At 42.3% G+C, this 23,543-nt stretch overlaps 2 long non-coding RNA genes across 2 annotated transcripts, besides 2 other annotated features; one reads left to right on the forward strand and one right to left on the reverse strand.

Moving 5' to 3' along the window:
• Positions 2,830-3,464: an enhancer, noted in NCBI's record as "H3K27ac-H3K4me1 hESC enhancer chr9:3181301-3181935 (GRCh37/hg19 assembly coordinates)". NCBI's record gives its function as "activates a minimal SCP1, AML or CMV promoter by ChIP-STARR-seq in naive H9 embryonic stem cells {active_cell/tissue: H9 hESC(naive)}" and the evidence as "EXISTENCE:reporter gene assay evidence [ECO:0000049][PMID:30033119]".
• Positions 3,118-22,029, forward strand: LINC01231 (long intergenic non-protein coding RNA 1231). The gene is made up of 5 exons (NR_121585.1): positions 3,118-3,418; positions 8,447-8,564; positions 14,989-15,123; positions 19,715-20,453; positions 21,829-22,029. It is a non-coding gene; the product is annotated as a long intergenic non-protein coding RNA 1231 (long non-coding RNA).
• Positions 3,263-3,432: a silencer, noted in NCBI's record as "silent region_19738". NCBI's record gives its function as "represses an Ori minimal core promoter by ATAC-STARR-seq in GM12878 lymphoblastoid cells {active_cell/tissue: GM12878}" and the evidence as "EXISTENCE:reporter gene assay evidence [ECO:0000049][PMID:35858748]".
• Positions 15,956-17,328, reverse strand: LOC105375959 (uncharacterized). Its single transcript, XR_929439.3, has 3 exons — positions 17,241-17,328; positions 16,230-16,422; positions 15,956-16,093 (listed from the first exon to the last, which is right to left on the reverse strand). It is a non-coding gene; the product is annotated as an uncharacterized LOC105375959 (long non-coding RNA).
• Positions 22,030-23,543: the final 1,514 nt, after the last annotated feature.

Genomic DNA, 23,543 nt, shown 5'->3' on the forward strand with positions numbered 1-23,543 from the left:
CAACATCTTTACAAAAATATAGCCTAACTCACTGTAAGAAGAGCCTAAGGAAACTGTTGTCTGGGGGACATAAAGTAAATATAACATTAACAATAGGTCAAGTGCAGTGGTTCACATCTGTAATCCCAATGCTTTGGGAAGCTGAGGAGGGAGGATGGCTTAAGGCAAGGAGTTCAAGGCCAGCCTGGACAATATAGCAAGATTCCATCTGTACAAAAAATTGTAAAAATTATTCGGGCATGGTGGTGCATGCCTATTGTCCTAGCAACTCAGGAGGCTGAGGCAGGAGGATCACACAAGCCAAGGAGTTTGAGGTTATACCGAGCTATGATCACTCTACTGCATTCCAGCCTTGGTGACAGAGTGAGAACTTGTCTCTAAATAATAATAACAGCTAATACTTACTGAGCTCTTAGTATATGCCAGGCATTGTCCCAAACGTGGTACATGTAGTATTTTATTTAAACATTATAATTCATATTATCATCCTTAGGTTACAGATGAGGAAATGAAGCTTAAATAGAGTGAATCATTCACTACAGTTAACATAGCCAGGGAGTACAGCCAGGATTCTAATTGAGGCAGCATTATCCCAGAATCTACCTATTTAACAACTATAGCTATGAGGTAAATCTGTATAATTTTCTCAGTGTACATTGCTTAGACTCATTTCTAAAGTCCATGAAAGAATTTGGGCCAAATTTATTCCCAAAGAAATCCTAGCCACTCAAAATTCTGCTACTAAATACACAATATTTGAGTTTGCCAGAATCTTTTTTCTTCCAATAATGTATTAGAATTTCTTTTTATGCTTTCTCTTCCTGGTCCCCATCCACAGGGGCCTAGTTGGTGATATAATAAAATGAGCTACTTTAAAGAAAAACTCCAGGATAGTTTCTCTTCAAAACTTTCCATAAAAGGGAACTGAGCTTTAATAACTACATTCATACATTGAATGCACCTTAGGACTGGAAAGTGAGTTTTCTGCTTCCTTATTAGTGAATCTTTCCCAAGGAATTCTGTCAAAATCTTGTGGCAATGACTACCTCCCTGCCTTGGCTTTAATTATTCTATTTCCATTAGTCCGGGTCAACACATACCACAGAGGTCATCTCTGGACTTGATGTACTGCATTAAAGGCGAGCTCCTCTAGGATAATTATGTCCTCAAAGACCAGGCATTGGGGTAATGCCTTGGGGAGTCTGAAACTCCAATCACCTTGAACTATGGATATTTCTTCTCTTAACATACATTTGTGGAAAAGAAAACCATAGGACATGAAATAATGCATAAGTCGCAAATCTGCTGTTTTCTCTGCACATGACTGGAGATTAAATAAATTGACTATAGCAGGCAAACAGTACTCTTTTCTGGAAGCTTGAGTTTCAGAATTCCCAAGAGAAACACTAAAAGCTACTTCCTTTCTTCTCTTACAGCCAAAAGAGAAATCAGTGAGCTATTGAGTAAGACTTTTGATCCATTACCAAGACTCAAGCTTCCTAAAACACTAGTCAAATGGTATTTAATACTTCGTTTTAAGACCCAAACTTGCCCATCCCGGCCTACAGTAAAGGGAGAAGACACATCCCACGGCTTGCTTTCACTCCAAAACAAGCATTTATTGAGTGTCTACTATGTGCCTGATCATGTTCTAAGTCTCTGAAGATAGAGAAGTGAACTTGTATCCTTATCACTGAGGAGGGAGAAGGCAGTACCTGCCAGTTACTTGAAATTCCCTTTGGAACCAATTCACAGGGCAGAACACTTTAAACTCTACTCAGACTCTCAGAAATTGGGTAGGAAGAAACTCCCTAAGTCTTCGGAGCCTCACAGCTGCCTTAGGAGCTCTGCTTTCCACACTTAACCAGAGACAGGTATTCAATATGAGCTGGGGGCAAGAAGCGTGAACCCCTCCAATTTTTATGCAAAGTTTTGTGAGCAAGTATGAGCATTTGCTGGAGCCAAAGTCTACAAGTGTCCTCGAATTCTCAAAAAGATCTGGAATCCTACCAAGGTTAAAAGCATTCCCCTAATATACCCACAACTCGTGGAGCCCAGGTGACTGCGCTTATGCTTTCTTGGTGAAGGCCACATGTCGAACCAAAAAGTCATGCCAAATGGATGCCACACTGACCGCAACAGCCACTTAGCCTGGTGTACACCCCGCTCAGTCCTTTCTCAACTTCACAACTTCGCTCACCAGAAAGCTTCGCGTGCAACTGTAAGATGGCCTATTCCTTTGGAAAGGAATGAGAAACACGTAGGCTTGGAAGTACTGAGACATTGGCGCCTCTCCTGTTTTGGTCCTGAATGGATTCCCGGCGAAGAAATCACATGCCTCTCTTCTCCTGACCCCACTTTTGGCATCTCTTAAGGCCGAAGCTGGTTCTCAGAGCTCGTCTGCCTACAGCTACTAAGTTCTCTGAGAGCAATAAAGATACGACGGGATCCATCTGGACGTTTTCCGGACAGGAGAGGCAGCCCGGCATTTCCCTTCAGAGAGTTGCTGGGGATGCACACCTGCTCTGGGACAGCCGGAGTGCGCAACCCGCACTTCTACACGCGCGCGCCGGGCAACATAGCGCACCGCGGGTACACGCACGCCGACCGGACACACGCAGTCTCGTACACGCCCAACGAGCGCACACACCCGCACTCCATGCACGCGCGATGGGCGCACACACTCGCATCCCTACACGTGCACACACCCGCGCTCCAATTACCGCGCTAGCGCGCAAAAGAGCCGCAACTTCCGAGTGGGACTCGGCATGCGGGGGCAGTGCCCGGTACTTCACCATCAGTCACCTTCGCGTCCGCCTCCTCCCCTGCTGGTTGCACCTCCAGCCGCAGAGATTTCCGGCTGGGGCACCAGAACTGTCCAGGCCGAAAGAGCTGCTCCTCCGTCACAAAGCGCAGTTGCACACTGTACTGCAGGCGCGCGGGGACCCGGGCCGGAGCCGGGGTCGCAGCCATGGTCCAAGCGCCTCTGCTCCTGAGCCCTAGCAGTGCCTCCCCCGCGCTGCTCTGGGCACCGAGAAACTGCTGGGGCAAGGGGGAGGGATTTGGAAGCGCGCACCACCTTCCCCAGCTCCCGTTGCAAGTTCAGTCTTCGACCTCCGAGACGCCCGGTGACTTCTGCTGGCACCTGCTGCCCTCGGCATCACCTCCCTCATCCCCCTGGAGGGCACGCTGGAAAGCTGCAACTCCCCACCCTCCGCACAGGAGCGCCCCGTAGACGCGCAGATGGGCCCAGCCACCCAGCGGGGCGGCAGCCCTGAGCACACAAGTTTGGAGAGCGCGCGAGGCACCTGAAAGTGGTTGGGGTTTGGAAGCAAAAGGGTGACACCTGCTGTTCGCTGGGACCGCTCTGCGGGTGTGGGCGTCGGTTTGGAAACGTCCTTTGCCTGAGCTCTGCTTGGTGAGTGGGCACTCGCTCTTGGTGTGATTCTGGCGCAACTGGCACCCAAGTGTGAGCAGCAGTCCTAAGTGCTGAGTTCTTTCCTCACTGACAGGGTCGAGAGAGCAGCAGCAACGTGATAGGAAAGCCCGCAGACATTTGTCAACTGGCTGGGCCCAAAAGACCATATTCGTCTTCCATTACTTAACTTGGGATTGAAGGTTTACTCGCTGCTGTATTGTGAACCATTTCCCTAGAAGTGGGCCAGCAGAGCCAGGGACTCTTGTCCCAAAGTTGATGCCGATCTCTAGCAGCTACCCAGCATAGTCTCTCGGCTCCAGCTTAAAAGGTTGGGCTCTCCAAGCTCTGAGTAACCGATTCGCAGGTCCTTAGTCCTCTTTGCAGAGAAACTGATCTGCTGCAGAGTTAAGAAAAGAAGCAGTTCTTCTTTTGACAAGAATCCCCCACACTTACAGATTCATGTGCCATAAACGGACCTTTTCTTCAAAAGCTGAACTGCTTTCTGTGTGCCCCCAGTCTGTGACCTCCTAATGGAATGAATTGCAGGGAGGAAGCAAGGTTTGTAAATCCATTCTGATCCTCTGAAGACAATGTTCCTCTTAACTGAGCAGGTTGACTTTAGAAGAACCAGCTTCCCTAGAAGTCCTGGGTTCTATGACTTCAGAGCTCCCAAGTGGGACTGTTAAACCCAGCCAAGCTGTATGAAATCCTGGGTCTCATTTATCTGCCTCCCACACCTTCTTCTTTCTCCCAGTTCCTGATCAGGCCTCTCTGGCTTCTCCAGTTTTCCTTTAAGACTTTTTCCTCCTCACCCTCCTTCTCTCTGTCTCTCATCTTTCTCAATCATCTACGTACTCTTTTCCCTTTTTCTCATTCTCACATTCTGTTGCTGCATGGCTTTGATTCAGGCTCTGGAAGCTCTTAGGAATGAGATTTTCTCAGTCTGGCGTAAAGGCCATAAAACACTGCATCCCACTTCACCCTTACACACCTTCCACCTATTGACGGAGGGATGACATGTTGTGACCAGAAGCTTGCAGGAACCTAACCCTAGGTATTTCCCCTAGGAGGAATGTTAGTGGCACCTTCATAGAACATAGCTGCCATAAATAACAACATTTGACTATATTTTACAATAACAATGCCTTTTTTAGGGTGCTTAGCAAAGAGATCCCAGTAACTACTAAATAATCTCTCTAAGTTCAGAGCTCCTGCCTTAACCCCAAAGAATGAATACCGTTGACTTTGAGGTCACATATTCTTGGTAGACGAGGTATTTTGGCTCATGGGCTTCCCAGCCTCTCAGATCCAATCATACACAGTGTTTCACCTATTCTGCCTGGATGTAAGTCAGGATCTGGTCATAAAAATAAAAGGCTGCCTAATTATGAACTAACTCACCTTCCTGAACTCAGAGCTGGGCCCTCTCAAAAGCACAAGTGACTCAGAATATAAAGTGCTTCCTCAAGCTCCTCTCACATAGTTTACAGCCAAGAACAAAACTGGCCCATGTAGAAGGGACCTAATTTTTTTCTGAAGTTCTTCATAACAAATCCTTTATGAAATCTTTATGGTAATGCTAATATTAATCATTGATAAAATTGCCTTATTGTGTTTCATTTATTATTTCTTCAGATGGATGTATTGGTTTCCAAGGGCTACCGTAACAAATCACCACAAACTTGGTGGCGTCAAACAACAGAATTTCCCCCGCAGTTCCGGAGGCCGGCAGCCTGAAATCAAGGCATCAGCATGGTCTTATTTCCTTTAGAGGCTCTGGGGAGAATCCTTCCTCGTTTCTTCCAGCTTCTGGAAGCATTCCCTGTTTCTTGGCTTCCTTCCCTGCCTCACTCCAACCTCTGCCTCCATGGTCACATTACCTCCTCATCTTCATGTGTCTTCTCTTCTGTCTCTTACGAGGGCAGTTGCCATTGGATTTAGGGCCCATCCAGGTTGTCCAGGATGATCAACATTTGACTATGTTTTACAATATCCTTGATTACATCTTCAAAGACCCTTTTTCCAAGTAAGGTCGCATTCACAGGTTTGGAAAGTTAGAATGTATATATGTCTTTTGGAGGACAACCATTGAAAGAACCCACACGTTCCCTGGTAGTCACCACTGGGGAAGAGAAATGAAAGATATCATTTCAAAGCTTAGGCCCAGCCCTTGTGTGTCTGATTTGGTGATTAGCACACTTGTTATTCCTGGCAGACGTGAGAGAAGACAGGTTGAGAGAAGGATTGTGCGAGGAGGTAGGGTGAGAGGGTCATGGTAACTAGACCGGATTACTAGAGAAACTAAAATGTACTGCATATTCCAGGAAAAGATGGACTTTGTTATGAAAGATGGGAAACATTATGAAGAAAGTAGAATGTTTATCTTTTTTTGTTTTTGTTTTTGTTTTTGTTTTTTGAGACAGAGCCTTGCTCTGTTGCCCAGGCTGGAGTGCAGTGGCACAATCTTGGCTCACTGCAACCTCCACCTCCCCAGTTCAAGCGATTCTCCTGCCTCAGCCTCCCGAGTAGCTGGGACTACAGATGCGTGCCACCACGCCCAGCTAATTTTTTGTATTTTTTTAAGTAGAGATGGGGTTTCACCGTGTTAGCTAGGATGGTCTCGGTCTCCTGACCTTGTGGTTTGCCCACCTCGACCTCCCAAAGTGCTGGGATTACAGGCGTGAGCCACTGCTCCTGGGCCATGTTTATCTTTCTTAAAAAATAAACTATATTGATTCTGCAAATTAATATTTTCCCAGAGACAGGAGAGGGAGAAAGAGAAAGAGCGTGAGAGCAAGAGAGAGAGAGAGAGAAACAGAATGACCCAACCTTTACTCTCTATACCAGTAGTCTTCAAGCTGAGGTATGTTAAGACCCAGGAAGGAGTATTTTAAGGAAATAAATTTCCAGACCCTCTACTTCCACAAATAGTTTTTTTTTAATTGATCTTCCTCAGAAACACTAATGAAGATGCAGATTCCCCTTCTCAGTGCTCACTGTTTTAAGGAAAGGCATACCTGTCACTCATCCTAAATTTTATGATGTCTAGTGTCTAGTTGCCATACACATAAAAAAATTTACAGCACCAAAAAAAAAGACACAATTCAAAATATTGCTGTAGCTGTAGAGAAAGTAAATGACTGTAATCATTTCAAAACTCAGATGGTAGCTAATTCTTTGTTCATAATAAAGTTGAGGGAGACCTATTAAGGTGCCAACTGAGAGATCGTTAAAAATAATCTTTGATGATAGATTACTATGTGACTTAGCAACTTCCAGCAACAACAGTGGCCACAGAATGAGTGGTCCTTACACTTAAATTCTCTTACCTTCATGGCTATCTTCATCTATAATTAGTAATAAAAAGTATAGTAATAATTAAATCAAGAGTTTTTATCAGACATATGGTCATGGAATTTTTTTTAAGTTGCATTTAAATTTATATACATTTTAGTTGTAGCAGGTATAAGGTTAGGATAACAGATGTTTAAGTGTAAACTATATTACAAGTAGCATAAAATTCTATGGAGTAAGTACATTGGAAATAAGATTTGGAAAAGATAAGGAAAATATATATGATTTCTGACTATAAGAACTTGTCAGGTATTTTTAATGAATGATAATGAATATCAAATAACCACATTAATTAGAATTGCTGGCTTCCTTTAAAATGTGACTGTAACTATTCCTTAATGTCAATATTAGCAATCAACTGGAAAAAATATTCTTGTGAATGTTTTAATTCGAAATATTTTAGATGTCAAATATGTGCAGGTAATGTTAAAATATGTGCAGGTAATGTTACGGTAGGTAGCTAGTCAGGCATGAACAGGGCAGGAGAGGGCTACCCCACCACACAAACGCATCAGGAATGTCAGGAGACCATCAGGCGATGGTCAGGTGGTTGTCAACTATCTCTCTAAAATAATAAAATAATTGATCACAGCTGGCGCCAGGGAACGGCAGTCTCCCAGTGGATAGAAAACACCTGAAACTGTTGATCAGCAGCTTCTCAATAAGATCTTGGGAGTTGGGCAAATGGGCTCAAGCATGCGCATTAAGAGGCAAATGGCGGGGTTTAACTGGTATATGACCTTCCTCTAGGAATGCTAGACTGGTAGGTGAAGAAAGCCTCAAGTGAGCATCTGTACAACTCCAGTGTCACAATCAGGGTTGGGGTCCAGCTCCAGCTGAGGTCTGAGGAGAGTGGGTGGATGTGGGTTGGGGAGCTGGAAGAACACTCGAGAGACACCAGGTAAAAGAGAGTTGGCTTTATTCAGCAGCCCCTTCACAGGGTCAGTGTTACATTTACACACTGCACAGAAAACAGTGGCTGAGAGCCAGGTGGGGAGCTTCTCTATGTTGTGTCTACATGGTTATGATTATATAAGACATGGGACTATGTGCTTGCACCCCAATCCCACTGAGTCAGCTAGGCTGTTTACCTTGGCCTATGCCTGCTGCCCTACGTGGCTGCAGCACAGCCATGTTCCTTACATCCAGTAACCACACTGTGTTCTCCCCTCCCAAGGGCTGGCAGCCCACTACACGTGTGCACAGCCCACCCCAAGGAAGGAATCAGGTGAGACATAACCCAAGACCCAGGCAGTATGCCAATGTCTAAAACCCCAAGTTGAAAGGGCATTTTGACCCTCAAATGCATTTGATCTCTCAAGTCGCCCTCTTCCAAGTACACTTGACTACCTTTCACTCCTGGTCTAAAGCTTTTTAATAAACTTTCACTCCTGCTGTAAAACTTGCCATGGTCTCTCCTTCTGCCTATGCCCCTCAGTCAAATTCTTTCTTCTGAGGAGGCAAGAATTGAGTTTGCTGCAGATCTATACAGTCCGCCGCTAACAGTAATCTCTGAATTTACAAAATTCTTTTAGGGATACACAGCAAATAAATAAATACATACATACATACATAAAATTGCTGTAGACAAGCAGAATAAAGAAACAGGCATGGCAACACCTCTTTGCTGTTAGGATCTTGAAGATGTTTCGCCTCTCCCACTCTTCCCAATAGAACCTGGGTGCCAGAGACTACCTGGGACAGCTCTACTGACATCATCAGCACGTGATTCTAGCCTCATTAACTCTAACTTGGGAAAAGTGCTTCTGGAGGAAAGGGAAGAGATTCTAAGGTAAAAGCAACTCTTTGTTAAGGGTGAGGTCAGGTTTTGTGAGAAGAGCGCATGGGATGGCCCAAGTTAGAAGTCACAAAGATGGTCTGGTCTTAGAGAGAGAGAGGGTGCGCCTGCCAAGAGAGAAGCAAAGGCAGGACCTGGGAACATGCTGAGAGGGTTTGTCTGTAGCTCACGAGGAAAGTCTCATTTGGGGTATAGTTTCTCTTATTTCAGGGTAGAGTTTCTTCTCATTACCTCATTTCAGTAGTTCAGTCTGTCAGTGTGGTGTGCGATGAGATAGGGTAAGAGAGAGAAACGTGACCTGCGTCTCAGGGAGGGAGCATTTTATCTAGAAGAGTGAGTCCAGGATTGCTGGTCATTACTAGCAGGATGTGAAAGGGAGCCCCACAGGGGTGGGAGGGCAAGGAAGGAGCAAGCCATGGTGGGGACTATGCTAATGGTTTCCGGAGGAGGCAGATTTGGTGTCCAACCCCAGCCCCACCTCTTACCGCCTGGGTAAATGGGGCTATTACTTAGATGCTTTGAATTCGGGGAAGCCTTTACAGTAAACCCAATATAACTCTACAGGCTTGTTGTGAAAATTAAATGGCACTGTATAGCAAGCACTCAACATATAGTTAGTGGCTATCATTAGTATTTGCTGAAGAAAATATGGAAAAGTTAAAAGAGAAGCTTGAATGAACCATATCCCCTCACCTGAAGGCAATTATTGGAATGCTTTTAGAGTAGTTATTTCTATTTTTTCTTAATTTTGGCATTAAGGCAGCTTTTATTGAATAGAAAGAGAAGAACAATGTGAATAACCCCTGTAAGAGAAGACCTGACTCAGTTGTTCCCTGAGAAGAGAAAAGAGGTTCATTAGTTACAAAATCATGTGAGTTTCAGCTTTTACTTATTTTTTTGTTGTTCAGTCATTCATCTATGGCTTGTGATTTATATCACATTCATACTCAGAGGCACAGCGGCATGTTTCGTAAATCTAGCAAATACATAAACAGCAGCTATATTTCCCTGTTTGTATGGAAGTGAAACCAAAGTAGATTGGGGAAAAGAAGCTGGAAAATTAAGAGAAGTGGAGGTTGGGGGGGCATTTTGGAAAAATAATGTGATTATGTATAACTTGCCAATCCACATTCAAATCCAAGTTGAGACCCCCTGCAGGGGACAGCTACAAGGACATTATTTCCCTGATCATCAGCCTGGAGCTCTTTTCCAGAGAGCTGATGTGTCTGTATGAGATTTGTACATGATTTCTCATAAGGTTCTTTTCTTGATCTTCAAGCAGGAATTACAAGACAGACATAGTAAGCTTGCTGACACACCTCTTATTCTCTCTGGAACTGACCATAAGCCAGAATACATTTGATTATCTGATTTAGTGGAGAACATAGTAAAAAGAATAAAATGGATGATATAAAAATTGCACCAGCATATACTTAACTAAGGTAGCTATATCCTTTTCAATTTCTTTATACATAAAAGAAAGTTGCTATACCAGGTAATCTTAATATTTCCATCCAATTTTAATATTCCATGTATTGAGAATAATAGCTAATATTTATTCATTGGTCTACATGCATCGACTCATTTGTAAATATCATATGGTTGCAGACTTACCTTTAGGCCAGTATTAACATTAGTCCACATTCTGAAAGGGAATGCTGGTTAAAATTTATCATGCATGAGAATCACCTGGAGAGAGTGTTAAAATGCAGATTGCTGGGCTCTGCCCCCAGTGATTCTGATTTAGCAGGCCTAGTGCAGTGCCCAAGAACTGTTATTTCTAATAAAGTCTTAGGTACTGCTGGTGCTGCCATTCTGACACCTGTGGACTTAAAGCAGCTCTGTTCTAAGCTTGGGAGGGGCGGCGTCCAAAGTCAGGCTGCACATTAAAAAGTACAGCAGCTAAATCAGGAAGCTGATGAGTTACATACAGATAATGGAGGATAACTGCTACTGTCTGAATGTTTGCATCCCCCCCAAATTTATATTTTAGAATCCTAACCCCCAAGGTGATGGTGTTAGGAGGTGGGGCATTTTGGGAGGTGATTAGGTCCTATAGGCAGAGCCTTCATGATAAGGATTAGTGCCCTAATAAAAAGGGACCCCTCTCAAGATCATTCTTGTTGGTCAAAAAAATTAATAAGATAAAAAATAAAAGGGACCCCAGAGACCTGCCTTCTCCTTCCACTGTGTGGAAACACAGCAAAAGGGCAATTCTGTGAACCAGGAAGCAGGTCTGCACCAGACACTGGATCTGCCGGTGCCTGGATCTTGGACTTCCCAGCCTCCATACCTGCGAGAAATACATTTTTAGCTTTCATAAGTGACCCTGTCTATGGTATTTTGTCACAGCAGCCCAAATGGACTAAGACAATAACTGTATCATTTAATCACAAGTGTGTAGTACTTGTGGGCAGTTCACTTTGCCACATTTTGAAACTATTGCCACATCATTTCAAAGCTATAATAATAGCTTATCTTCTTAGGGATGGCTTGACACAAATAAACTTCCTAGAAAGGATAAATGAAGGATAGAATGACCTTGAAGAGCCTTAACTCCACATGTATGCCGACAAATGAGCACTTCCCTTTCATTCGTATTTGTTGCATAAGCATCTGAGGCATAGTACAAAGAGCACTTTAACCTCTTCCACGTTTCCACTTCTTTAACCCCAAAGTGCAGACGGTAACACCTGTACCAAAGACTTGCTGGGAAGATTTAGTGAATAACGCATATGAAAGCAACAACACTCCCCAGGAAAATCATCCCTGACTTGCCTGCAAATCAATCCCCATTCTCTCAGGGCACCTCATTCTTTTCTTTCAGAACACTTATCATGGATTGGAACTATGTATTTGAGAGGGAGGATGGTAATTTGATTAATATCTCTCTCCCTCACGCTATTGTAAACTCCATGAATATCTATTTTTCCTATTGTTAAATCCACAACACTTAACCTGGTTGTGGTTCATAGTAGACAATCGAAATATTTGTAGAATGAATGACAATGATTGGCCCATGGTAAAAATTCAGTTAATATCCATTTAAAAATCAATATATATACGTACAAAATATGAGGTACAATCAAAATGAGAAGTTAAGGAAGGTATTCTTAATAATTAAGAACTGCAACATGACAATAGAACTGACTGCACAGTCAACACAGCATTGGCAGAAAACTGCTGAAGTCTCTAAGCTCCTTGCCACTATAAAGCAAACATGAAGACTCTTGTGTTTAAGAATTGTATCATTACCTACTAGAAAAAAAATTAAGCTGAGCCACTAATCTCTGGGGTTGTCCTTCTTTGTTTAAGAATCTACTTCGTGGCCGGGTGCGGTGGCTCATGCCTGTAATACCAGCACTGTGGGAGGCCGAGGTGGGTGGATCACGATGAGGTCAAGAGATCGAGACCATACTGGCCCACATGGTGAAACCCCATCTCTACTAAAAATACAAAAACTAGCTGGGCATGGCGGTACGCACCTGTAGTCCCAGCCACTTGGGAGGCTGAGGCAGGAGAATCACTTGAACCCAAGAGTCTTAAGTTGCAGTGAGCCGAGATTGCGCCACTGCACTCAAGCCTGGGCGACAGAGGGAGATGCCATCTCAAAAAAACAATCTACTTCACCTCTGATTTCTTCAAATGCCTTGCCTGTTCTTTCTGAGCCCTCCTTAACAGAAAATTGAAATCAGGGGTAAGCAGAGATTCTTAGAATTTACAAGCATAATGCAGATTTGCAGCTCAATAATTCCTACAGGTCTGCCAAATTTGTCAAATTTATAATGATGGTCTGGGGGAAAAATTGCTCAATTAGATTGCCAAGAACACTGACATGCACAGAGAACGTAAATTTTTACCTTTCAAGGATCAAAATTAATTTTTGGTATGAGGATATTATTAGTATGACAGTTTTACTGTACAAATTAAAAATAGGAATTGCATAATAGGACAAAGACACTATATCACCGAGCTCTTAGTCAATGTGCACTGCAATGTGTGTTTTCTTGGAAGAAAGAGAAATAAACAGCTCAGTTCCTGAGGCAGAAGACAAGGCAGCAGCATATACAAGCTAATTGCAGACAATAAAAATACATCTTAAAACAATTTTTATATACACCTAAGTGTAAAATAGACCATTTTAGACAGGTTTCCTGAGCTCTGCAATCAGAACCAAGCCTACTGTGCTGTGCTATTTGTCAGATACAGCATTAGTTTGGGAAGCTTTCAAAATAAATTCAAGTTTTCTATAGTTTTACAGTAAGGGTCTGTGCTCCTTCTTCTGCCACTAATTTTTATATTTGGAAAATCATGTCAATATAGAAAAAGGATTCCAAGTACACGCTGAAGAGGGAATATTTTTGATATTTATGTATATAGTTTTCGGTTTATTATGGTGAAAGGAAACAGGGTTCCAAGTCAAAAGATCTGTGTTTCCATCTTGTTTTCACAAGCTGGCATACGTTTTTAACCTCTCTGTCCCTCAAGTGTCCCCTTCTGAAAAAAGGGGGTTGATAGTAAAGCTAACCTCCAGGATAATGGCCAGGGTTGCCGTCTTCATTTTTATTTATTTGGGCTAATTTAAAGCTAGCTTCCATTCCAGAAACAGGCACACTTCTGTAGCCTAAGGCATGGCAATAGGAATAATACATACAAAAGTACTTAGTAATATCAAGAACTACACATAGAAATTTATTGGTGTTATTTTACAAACCTTCCCAAATAAGGAAGGAACATAGCTGCTGGCCATTGGTAGAAACACTCCCAAATGGCCACTTGTGAGCCGAACCTCCCGCAGGTTTCCTGAGCCCAGGCCTCGTTAGGTCTTTCAGAGTGGGCAGTGCTCAGTGCTTCACATCGACCTTCAGTGGTACCTGCCAATTATCTTTCCCAGGTACCTGCTGAGAGGGCTGTGCTTTAGAACAGCTGCAATCTCTGCTCTTTAAAAATAGAAAACCACTTTAACTTGTGTAGGCTTAACACAAGTGGGAGCAGAGAGCTACCTCAACCTTAGTACTATCAAAGATTTACCTCCTCCTTTGTATCTTAAAACAATCTAGATTTTTTCCTCGAACAAGTTATTTTTCTGAATATTTGAAATGAACCAGCCAAATAGCATATTTCTTGGTGAATCAATTCTAATGAAAAATGGATTACTGCAACTTTTTCAGTTTCTTCATGTACATTACTACAATTGAGAGAAATGATCATCTTTGAGGATGATTTTCAAACATCACTAGTCTACAGGCTGTAAACCATCAATTCACACAAAAAGGAAATTAGCATATATATGCATATGAGTGTATACATTATATATACATGCACATGTATATATAAGATCAGATGCTCAAGCTTATTAAATCTGGAAAATGTGAAATGAAAATCTAAAGAAAATATTCTTCCACTTTGTAGAATTGCAAAGATTTTTTAAGTTGCTTCAGTTAAAGGACAGAGAAATAAGTAGCATGTCACTGATTATGGATAGGTGAACTGGCAAATCTCTTTGGAGGATGGCGTCTACCAAATTTCAAAGTACTCATGTCTTATTACTCAGCAATTCCGCTTCTAAAAAATGGACTACAGATGGACTGGAATCAAATCTTACGATGAGGCTAGATTTTAAAGTCAAAATCTAAGCAAAAATCACAAATTTACCCTGAAGTCCCCTCAGTTGCCGGCAAAGAACAACACATCCTATAGAGTTACAATGGCATAGTCTGCATAGAATTGACTACTGTTCTTATGTGGATTATTTTGGAAGTATGAAGTTCAGCGTTGGCCGGTTTTCAGAGGTGTTGACATCATGTGCAGAAGCTTGGTTACTGGGGTGAGACTGTTGTTGCTTAGGATGAAGAGGTGTGTTTATTGGAGTGAGTGCCATCCCTGACAGGCTTTTAGAAGGGTGGGGTTAACATGGATCCATTGGCTTGTCTGAGTTCTGGTAGCTCCTTATTTTCATGGCAACAGAACCATCCAGCTTTTCCCAAATTTGTGGCAATTTTTAATTCTCTTTAGAAGAGCTTACTCAAATGTCTTTTGATGCAACTCTGCTTTATAATCACACAAGTGCTGGAAATGTGTGGACAAGGATATTTACTGCCTAAAGAGATTGCAAACAACTTAAGAAGGTGATTAAATACATTTGGTACAGCCATACTATGGAATACAATGTAGCTATGTTAAACAGGAGGGAAACTGGATAGTAGTACTGATGTGGAGCAATCTCCATGACATGGTGGTAAGTGAAAAAAGCAACGATGCACAATAGGTTCTGATCTATACATAGAACTCTCTGGAAGGATAAAAAAAGAAACATTAAAAGTGCCTCAAGAGAGAAGAACTGGGAGCCTTTGGGTGAGGGTAGCAGAGGAGACTTACTCTTCACCATGGACTCATTTCTTTTTTCTCTCTTTTCCAGGCTGTGTGCCCCATTCTTATTACTCTATCTCAGTGGGTCTCAATCCCGGCTACACATTGGAATCACTTGGAAAGCTTTAAAAATAAAACCAAACCTGTGCTTGGGCTCCACCATAGGTGTTCACCACAGCTGTCAGTAAGTATCTGCAGCAAATTAGATCGGTGAGCACTTAGCCTAAATGGAAGAAAGAGCAGCAGAAATGGCTTAAGATAGGTTAGGATTGCTGAATGCTGTGTCTCCGTTTCCCTCAGCGCCTGCATTTAAATACTCACAAGTCCTATGAACTGAATCTCCTGAAATAGAGCTCCTTAGAGGCCACAAGTCCTGGGCATTAATGTGCACTATCCCATTTGATTTTCACAACTACTCAGAGGGGCCATTTCCCCATTTTTTCTAGGGAGGGAAACTAAAACTCATACAAGGGGATTAATGAGCCGTAAGTCAGCAGAGTCAGTGCTCAAAAACTGGAAATCTTAGACTCGAAATTCCATTCTCTTTCCACACTGCCCCATCAAACTCCTCTCTTTTACATGATTTTTCCGGTCAGTTTTCCAGACTGCTTTGCATAACAGTAGTCTCAACACACATGAAAAAGATATCTTAAACCTTAGCACATCACGCCATCAGCCAAAACTCTCCTCTTATTCTTCCCCTTTCCCTTTGTTAAATATTTGCTCAAGGTTTGGCAGACCTGGGGTGAACACCCTTCTTAATTCTTAGGCCAGGTTAATCAGATTCCACTTTCTTCATCATTTTTAGGCAGAATTATACTGCCCAGAAATCCATGCACCATACACTTTCCACCCCACCCCCTACTCCATGCCTCCTAAGGGGGTCTCACTTACCCTTTGGGATGTTTCTGGTATTTCGGTTCTTCATAAACCGGAAGTCTGTTTTCTCTACATTCTCTATTTAGTTAGTGCAGGGTTGACATATTCGCATGTATGTCTTTCCTCCGCCTCCTAAATCAGTGCCTCCAGGGCCCCTGAAGTACTTTTAGCAATCTTCTCTCAAATCTTTCCAGCCTCTTGCATGCAATTGAGAGGCTCAGAACTCAACACAGCCAGCCAGGTGTGGTCTCCAGAGAACTCCATAGCGATTATTACTACAGTGAGAAGAGAACTCATTAATTCAAAATAAAGCGGAGCAGGAACAAAGTCATGTCAGAATGACTGAAATTTCTAGGGCTCCAGCTGGTGTTTGGTGAGGGTTGGTTGGGGGAGGGAGAAGAGGATACAAACCACCAGCAGAACACAATATTGACACGATGCGAGACCCTCGGTCAGATTGCTGAAGGCGCTGTAAGAGCAAAATATCCACACCGGCTGCTTGTTTTTTCTCTTGGGTTGGGATTGGGTGGATTAAGTAGGTGGATTTGTTCATTTTTATTTAACTTTCAACAATTGCACAAGTACTCCATAAAGAAAGTAGGAGCTACAGAAAGTAAAGCGAAGCAAATAAAAGTCATAATTCATGCATCCAGGGACAATCATTGTTAATATTTTGATGCATATCCTCTAGATATTTTTCCTATATGCCTGTGTCTAAAATTATTTTTAGGCCGGGCGCGGTGGCTCACGCCTGTAATCCCAGCACTTTGGGAGGCCGAGGCGGGTAGATCATGAGGTCAGGAGATCGAGACCATCCTGGCTAACAAGGTGAAACCGCGTCTCTACTAAAAATACAAAAAAAATTAGCCGGGCGCGGTGGCAGCGCCTGTAGTCCCAGCTACTCGGGAGGCTGAGGCAGGAGAATGGCGTGAACCCGGGAGGCGGAGCTTGCAGGGAGCCGAGATCACACCACTGCACTCCAGCCTGGGTGACAGAGCGAGACTCCGTCTCAAAAAAAAAAAAAAAAAAAAAAAGAGCTCTGGCTTGGACTAACTGAATGCAAATTGCAGCTGCGCCTTTTGTTTGCTGTTTTGGGCACATCAACTCTTTAAGCCAGATTTTCCAGGCAGGCATATGGCAGCATGCTGGGGTACCACCTATGCTGGGGTACCACCTATGCTGGGCTACCACCTATGCTGGGGTACCACCTATGCTGGGGTACCACCTATACTGTACCAAGGCCTGGGGTGGCCAGAACCCCTTGTTTATTTCCCTCTAGCCATGAGCAGCCTCCACAGACACTATATAATGGTTATCAATGCATGTCATAACATGAAAAAGATTGGGAAGCACTAATTAAGCTTCAGTTTTCTTATCTGTACTATAGGGTTTAGCTTGGCCCCAATTTGTTCACTGACTTACTGCATCTTCTTAGGTGAACGTTGAATCTACCGGTACTTCAGTTTCTACATGGCGGAAAACAAAGGGTTCAACTAAATTATTATACTTTCCGGATGCTTTCCAAGTCCACAACTCTGCCGTAATGACTAATGTCAAAGAAAAAGAAAACAAACTTAGAATTATGTTTCAGTACAGAACATATCAGAAACACTTTTATTATGCCCATCACAGAGGACAGAAAACAACGCCAGTGTCATTTTCTCCTGTACAACCTAGTGGGTTCACCATGAGGTCATAACATGGTTAAGGGATTGACAGGAGGCACAAATATGTATTGCTACTAAGTCTGGTACTAACTATTCTTTATGACTATGCAGATCATTCACCCATTCTACCATTTACCAGAGAACTACTGACAGCCTACTGTGTGCCATGCACTGCTCTGCATTGATATATAGTTATTCAAAAAATCCCAATTGCCTTTTTCATTGAGCTTATAGCCTAGTGGAAGAAGCAGGCAATAAACAAATGACTAATTAAATATATGACGTGTCAGGACGTAAGAAGGGATCTGTAATAAATAAAGCAGAACAAAAGGGATGGATGGATCAGGAGTTGGGGGTAGGGGCCAGGGAAGGCTTCTCTGATGACATTCGAGCAGAGGATAAAGGTGTGAGATTGAGCCACAAAACTATCAGGGGACTAGTGTTCCAGGTTAAGTCTTGATGTCCATAAGATTCACCCTTATAATTTTAAAAGACATTAAGAATACACATACAAATGTTTATTACATATAAATAAAGTACAAATACTACTACTGAAAGAAATATTAACATACCTACTACCCAGGTTAGGATAAAATATATATTTACCAGTAATTGTGAGACACCCCACATGCCAATGTTTAATTTTTCAATGATCTTTAAATACTAATTTTGGTCTGGGCACAGTGGCTAATGGCCGCATTCCCAACACTTTGGGAGAACGAGGTAGGGGGATCATTTGAAGCCAGGAGTTTGTGACCAGCCTGGGCAAAATAGTGAGACCCTGTCTCTATTAAAAAAATTAAAAATTAGCCAGGTATAGTGGTAAACTCCTGTAGTCCTAGCTACTTGGGAGGTTGAGGTGAGAGGACTGCCTAAGCTTTGGAGTTCAAGGTTATAGTGAGCTGTAATCACACCACTGCAGTCCAGCCTGGGCAACGGAGCAAGACCCTTCTCTAAAAGAATGTAATTTTGTAGAAGAATATGAAAGAACAGGAGAAAATAGTCAAGCGTATTATTAAACGAAAAAGGCAGGTTGAAAAGCAGCCTCACAATATGTTCCCCTTAATGTGGAAAACCCAGGTATATAATATTAAATAGCCAATAGTACTGAGAGCTAATTATGTGCACAGCTCTATGTTTGTGTGTGTGTGTGTGTGTGTGTGTGTGTTGTGGGTACGTAATACAGAAGTGCATTTAGAATTTATTTTTCATGGCTCTTTCTTAATAGTGGCATGCGAAACGATGTTTTACTCTTTCTGTATTGCCCTGTATTTTAAAGATTTCCACAGTGAGCACATATTACTTTGTATAAGCTGCTATTTAAAAATGATTGAAAGCTTTTTCAATCATTGATTGGGATGGGACTACAGGCATGACTGGCACATGTCTGTAATCCCATCTATTTGGGAGGCTGAGGTAGAAGGATCACTTGAGTCTAGGAGTTAAAGGCCAGGCTAGGCAACATGGTAAGACCTTGCCTCTAAAAAAATAAAAGCGATTTTTAAAAATATTACATTTTTTTCACTAAAGGACATTTAAAAGGATTTACTTCAGGCAGAAGGGAAATGATCCCAAGTGGAAGGTGTGAGATACAAGAGCCATGGTGAATGTGTGGGTAAATCTAAACCCAGGATTGACTACGCAAAACAGCAGTAATAATGTCAAGTGTGTGTGCATAGAGACAAGCCATAAGTAAAAGACTGGGCGACAGTTGCATTTAGCATGAGAGGGGGTTATCAGGGCCATCACATTGCATGACTTCAACGGCATCGTTCACAAAGTGCAGAGGGAGCCAGGGAGTGAGAAGAAAAACTAAGTTTGCCTTAAGTGCTCCTTTCAAGCCATTGAAATTGAGAAAGAGAAAAAGGAGTTTCAGACCACATTTGAAGGAGGCATCTCCACAAAACATGAGGTCGAGTTTTACATTTTAAAAGGCAAAGGCAGACAATACACCTTTGAAAATTGATAATCTCTTAGGAACTTAGGGTCAGGAAAATAAAGAATGGCGATAATTTATAAGTAAGCAAGCTTTTAGCAATTAGGCCATTTCATCTTAACAAATTTAGCTAACCACTCCCTATAGTTCACAAGGTATTCATAAATTCTCTAAACAAAAGCAATTTATTGTGTGCAACATGGGCAACTGAACGTTTGGTGAAATTGTTTCATAGTTTAAAAAATAATTTAATGTGATTTCTAATTTCACGTTTTTTTCTCTTTCCACACTAGGTATAAATCAATGCATCTTGGTTCCATTCTTCATCATTTGCTGGTAGCTAAATTATGGTAAATTCAGCTAAGGACATTTTAAAATCCTGTTTAATTTGTCCACATGCTAAATATCCCAGCACACAAGAGAAAAAGCAGCATGTACTTGGATAAGACAAACCTAGGGCTTCCTTCGAGTTAAGGAACAGTCTTGGAAGTCTTGTTATAGTTAATGGTTTTTTGAGTGGATGAGCAAATGAATGAATATACAAATGGTTATGCACACAATTAAGCAAACTACTTGATCACATTCCTCCTTTTGGTTTTGCTTCCTCTACCTGTCAGTTGTCCTGAACACCTGCGGAGGTATTTTGTGCAGGATGGTTTACCACATTGGCCTTGGGAGTTGAGGAAGCACCAGCTTAGGTTCTGCCACGTGCTCTTTCCTGACAGCGAGTGCTGCTGGCTGCTGACGCCTAGAATCTCAGCACGGGAGCTGCCTTTGTCACAGACCTTGGTTCCCCATTCAATCGAGCACCTGTGCAGTTGCCCTGTGGTCTAGCATCCCAGGCTCAGCAGTGACAGCTCCTGATGGGCTTTCACCTGACTTTCTAAATCAGTGCTGTTCTAAATCTGTGCTAAATCTGGTGACCAGCCAGAGCCTGGTCACCCCTGCATGGAGTAGGAGTGAAGCTTATGAAAAGGTGAGGTGCCAAACACACAGAGGAGAACACGGAGGAGGCCATATTGTAATAAAGAGGTAAGAAAAGATTCTGATAACATGGGAACATGTTTGAAAGTTCTTCTGACCAAAGATACTAATCTTACTCCAAAAGCTTGTATGTGAAGAAACATGGCTTATGAGTCAGATGTCAGAGAATCATAGATCCTTCAGAAACAGTGGGCATCTTAAAGGTCACATGGTTCAAAGCCCTTGCCATAGAGGAAGAAGACAGGAGGACTACTAGCTCTTGTCTATTTTCATACAGTATTGCAGGGGTGGAAAGTCCTCATTCATCATAAGGGTCACAGACAACACTCCTATAAGAAAAGACAGGTTAACATGAGAAAATCATAACAAATTTATTTAATCAAAATTTCACTTGACATGGGAAACTTCAGAAATGAAGACCCAAAGACCCAGGGAATACTGTCTATTTTTATGCTTAGGTTCAATGAAGAATGACCAGCCACGTAGAAATGTAAGTGGACGAAAGTTATGATCTCGTGGTAATAGACTGAGGGGAGTATCCCAGCAAGGACTGTGCATTCAGATTCTTCCTGGCCTCTCTGTGTAGCATTCCTTCTTCCTGGGTATGGGGAAGGACCTCTCTGGAATGAGTCTTTAAGGGCAAAGAGAGGAGGGAGAGAGTGACCCTTTTAGGTTTTGTCTTGCTTTGGGGTCTAGTTTCTATGACCCACTTTGGGGAAGAGGAATTCTTGTTTCTATGACTCACTTCAAAGGAGGAAGGACAGGTGAGAGACAGGAGAGCAGGAGAAGGTCAGAGAAAGAGACTTTTCTTCTGAGCCTACTTCTGTGACCTTCCCACATGGATGCTCTTTGGCCAGTCACAGAACCCGTTGATCCCTCGCTAAGCATATGTGTTATCTCATTTAATCTTCACATTGCTCTTATGTTGTGGCTTCCATTATCATCCCAATTTTGCAGATTATAAAACTGAACTTTAGAAAAGTGATTTCATGGCTACATTAGCAGATGGCATAGCAGGAATGGAGGCAGAAAACTGGACTGGAGAACTGACTTCTTTCCTCTCCTCCATAACTATATTATTGGTGGTACCCATGAGCATTTCAGCAGGAGCAATCAGGAATGTTTGGTTTCCCACAACACTCCTCTTCCTCAACACAGATGAAGCAGTGATGACTATTCAGAGAAGCATATGGCACTGGGAATTGACCTTTGAATAGCTATTTCCAGAAGGTCGACCTTCTGAAGTTCCTGCCATCATGCAATCTCAGGGAGTCAACAGTTACCTGTCAAGTCGGCCAAGTGTTTAAAATAGCACTTGACCGATATTTATTGTCACCCGAAAACAGGGATTAATAATAGAAACTATCCCACAGGCTTGTCGGGAAAACTAAATGAGTTAATATGTCTTTTATATTACCCCCAGAAAGCAAGCAGTCAGAAGTCACCCCATAAAACACCTTCCACCCTCTGAGCATGACCAGCAAAGCGGTTTCTTCTTGCGGACACTGCATCAGCCCAGCTCAAAGTGCATTCCATTCTGATGAACATCCACAAACAGTTATGAAGAAGACCCAAATGTCATGATTTTGTTCCTCTCAGATAATAAAAATATCATGATTCTGAAGGAGTGTTGGTGGGTGTTCAAGTCAATTCAGTTACAAGCATACGCCTTACCCCAGTTCTCGTGGCTTCATCCTGAATTAGAGTTGTCCCCTGTCATCTGGAATATATTTCCCATTGAGACACATTACTCTCACTCCTTCTACAGCTGTCCCAGGGTCAGTGCTTGATTTCTCAGAGATTTTGTTATGTGAATCAGTCCAAAGTGTGTTACAGCAAGACTAAGTCATCATGAGTCACATGATCCACACATTTCCTATTTGTATCTTTGCTTGGTTGAGTGTGTTGTGGGGGGTTAGAATATATTTTGGTCTGCTTTAACCTTTGTGTTCCAATTCACTCTTAGGTTGAAAGAAAAATATAAACTCAAATTTAAAGAATAGCCTTCTTGTAAAAGACAAGCTTGGCTATGACTAAGCAGTTGTTACTTGATGAGCGAGAGAAGCCCCTTCTTGGGTAATTGGGGCTGCAGGAATGGAGTGACCGTTTCCCCATCAGCATCCCCTCTGGGTCCTTCAGGTCTGAGCTAGAAGAGCAAGGGCCAGCGTCCCCCAGCACATAGTTGTCTTGATGCCACAGACAAAATAATTTAATTCATGTATGCGTCCTCATAAATCTGACAAATGTTTAGAAAATGGAAGCTTTGAAACGTGCTGAATTTGGGAGAGAAAGGTGTGCCTTTTACAGGACCATCAGGTCATCGCTGTGACCCGGGAATTTTTACATAGTGAATACAGATTTCCCAGCCCATAAACTGAACTCGGTTACCAAAGCATTTTTAAAATCTCGATTTACAGTTTTCTTTCTGTGAGTTGGCGGAAAATTTAAACTAGTTAATTCTTGGTATATTCAGGAATTTCAAAAATTTCTCTCTTTTAGGAGGTACAAGTCCTTTCTTCCCCTTTTTTTCCCCAAGTGGGCAGGCATTTGTGGCACCTAGCATCAGGAAGAAAGTCCTTGCTCAGCCTTTCTCTGTGTTGTCATATCACACAGTGATAGGATCATAGTTAAAGCTAATATTTATACTTCGCTCTCTATTTTAAGAGCTTTACATAAAAAAATTAATTGAGGAGTAGGTTATTAATAATTCATTAACTCCTCACAATGACTCTGTGCTACTATTACACTAGTCCCCTCTTATCCAAGGGGGTCAGCTTCAAGAACCCAAGTGGATGTCTGAAACTGCAGATAGAATAAAACATTGTTTTTTCCTATACGTATATACCTATGATAAAGTTTAATTTACCAATTGGGCATGGTAAGAGATCAACAAAAATAACTAATACAAAATAGAACAATTATAAGAAAACACTGTAGTAAAATGTATGAGTATGTGATCTCTCTCTCTCTCTCTTTCAAAACGTTTTCAGACCACAGTTCACTTCAGGTAACTGAAACCAAGGAAAATGAACCCATGGATAAGGGGGAACTATTTTATGAACATCCCCATTTTATAGGTAAGGAAACTGACACAGAGAAAGGTCAAGTGACCAGAGCCTAAAGTCATAAGGCTCAGAA

The sequence above is a fragment of the Homo sapiens genome, chromosome 9, assembly GCF_000001405.40.
Source record: "Homo sapiens chromosome 9, GRCh38.p14 Primary Assembly".
In the NCBI taxonomy this organism is placed as follows: Eukaryota; Metazoa; Chordata; class Mammalia; order Primates; family Hominidae; genus Homo; species Homo sapiens.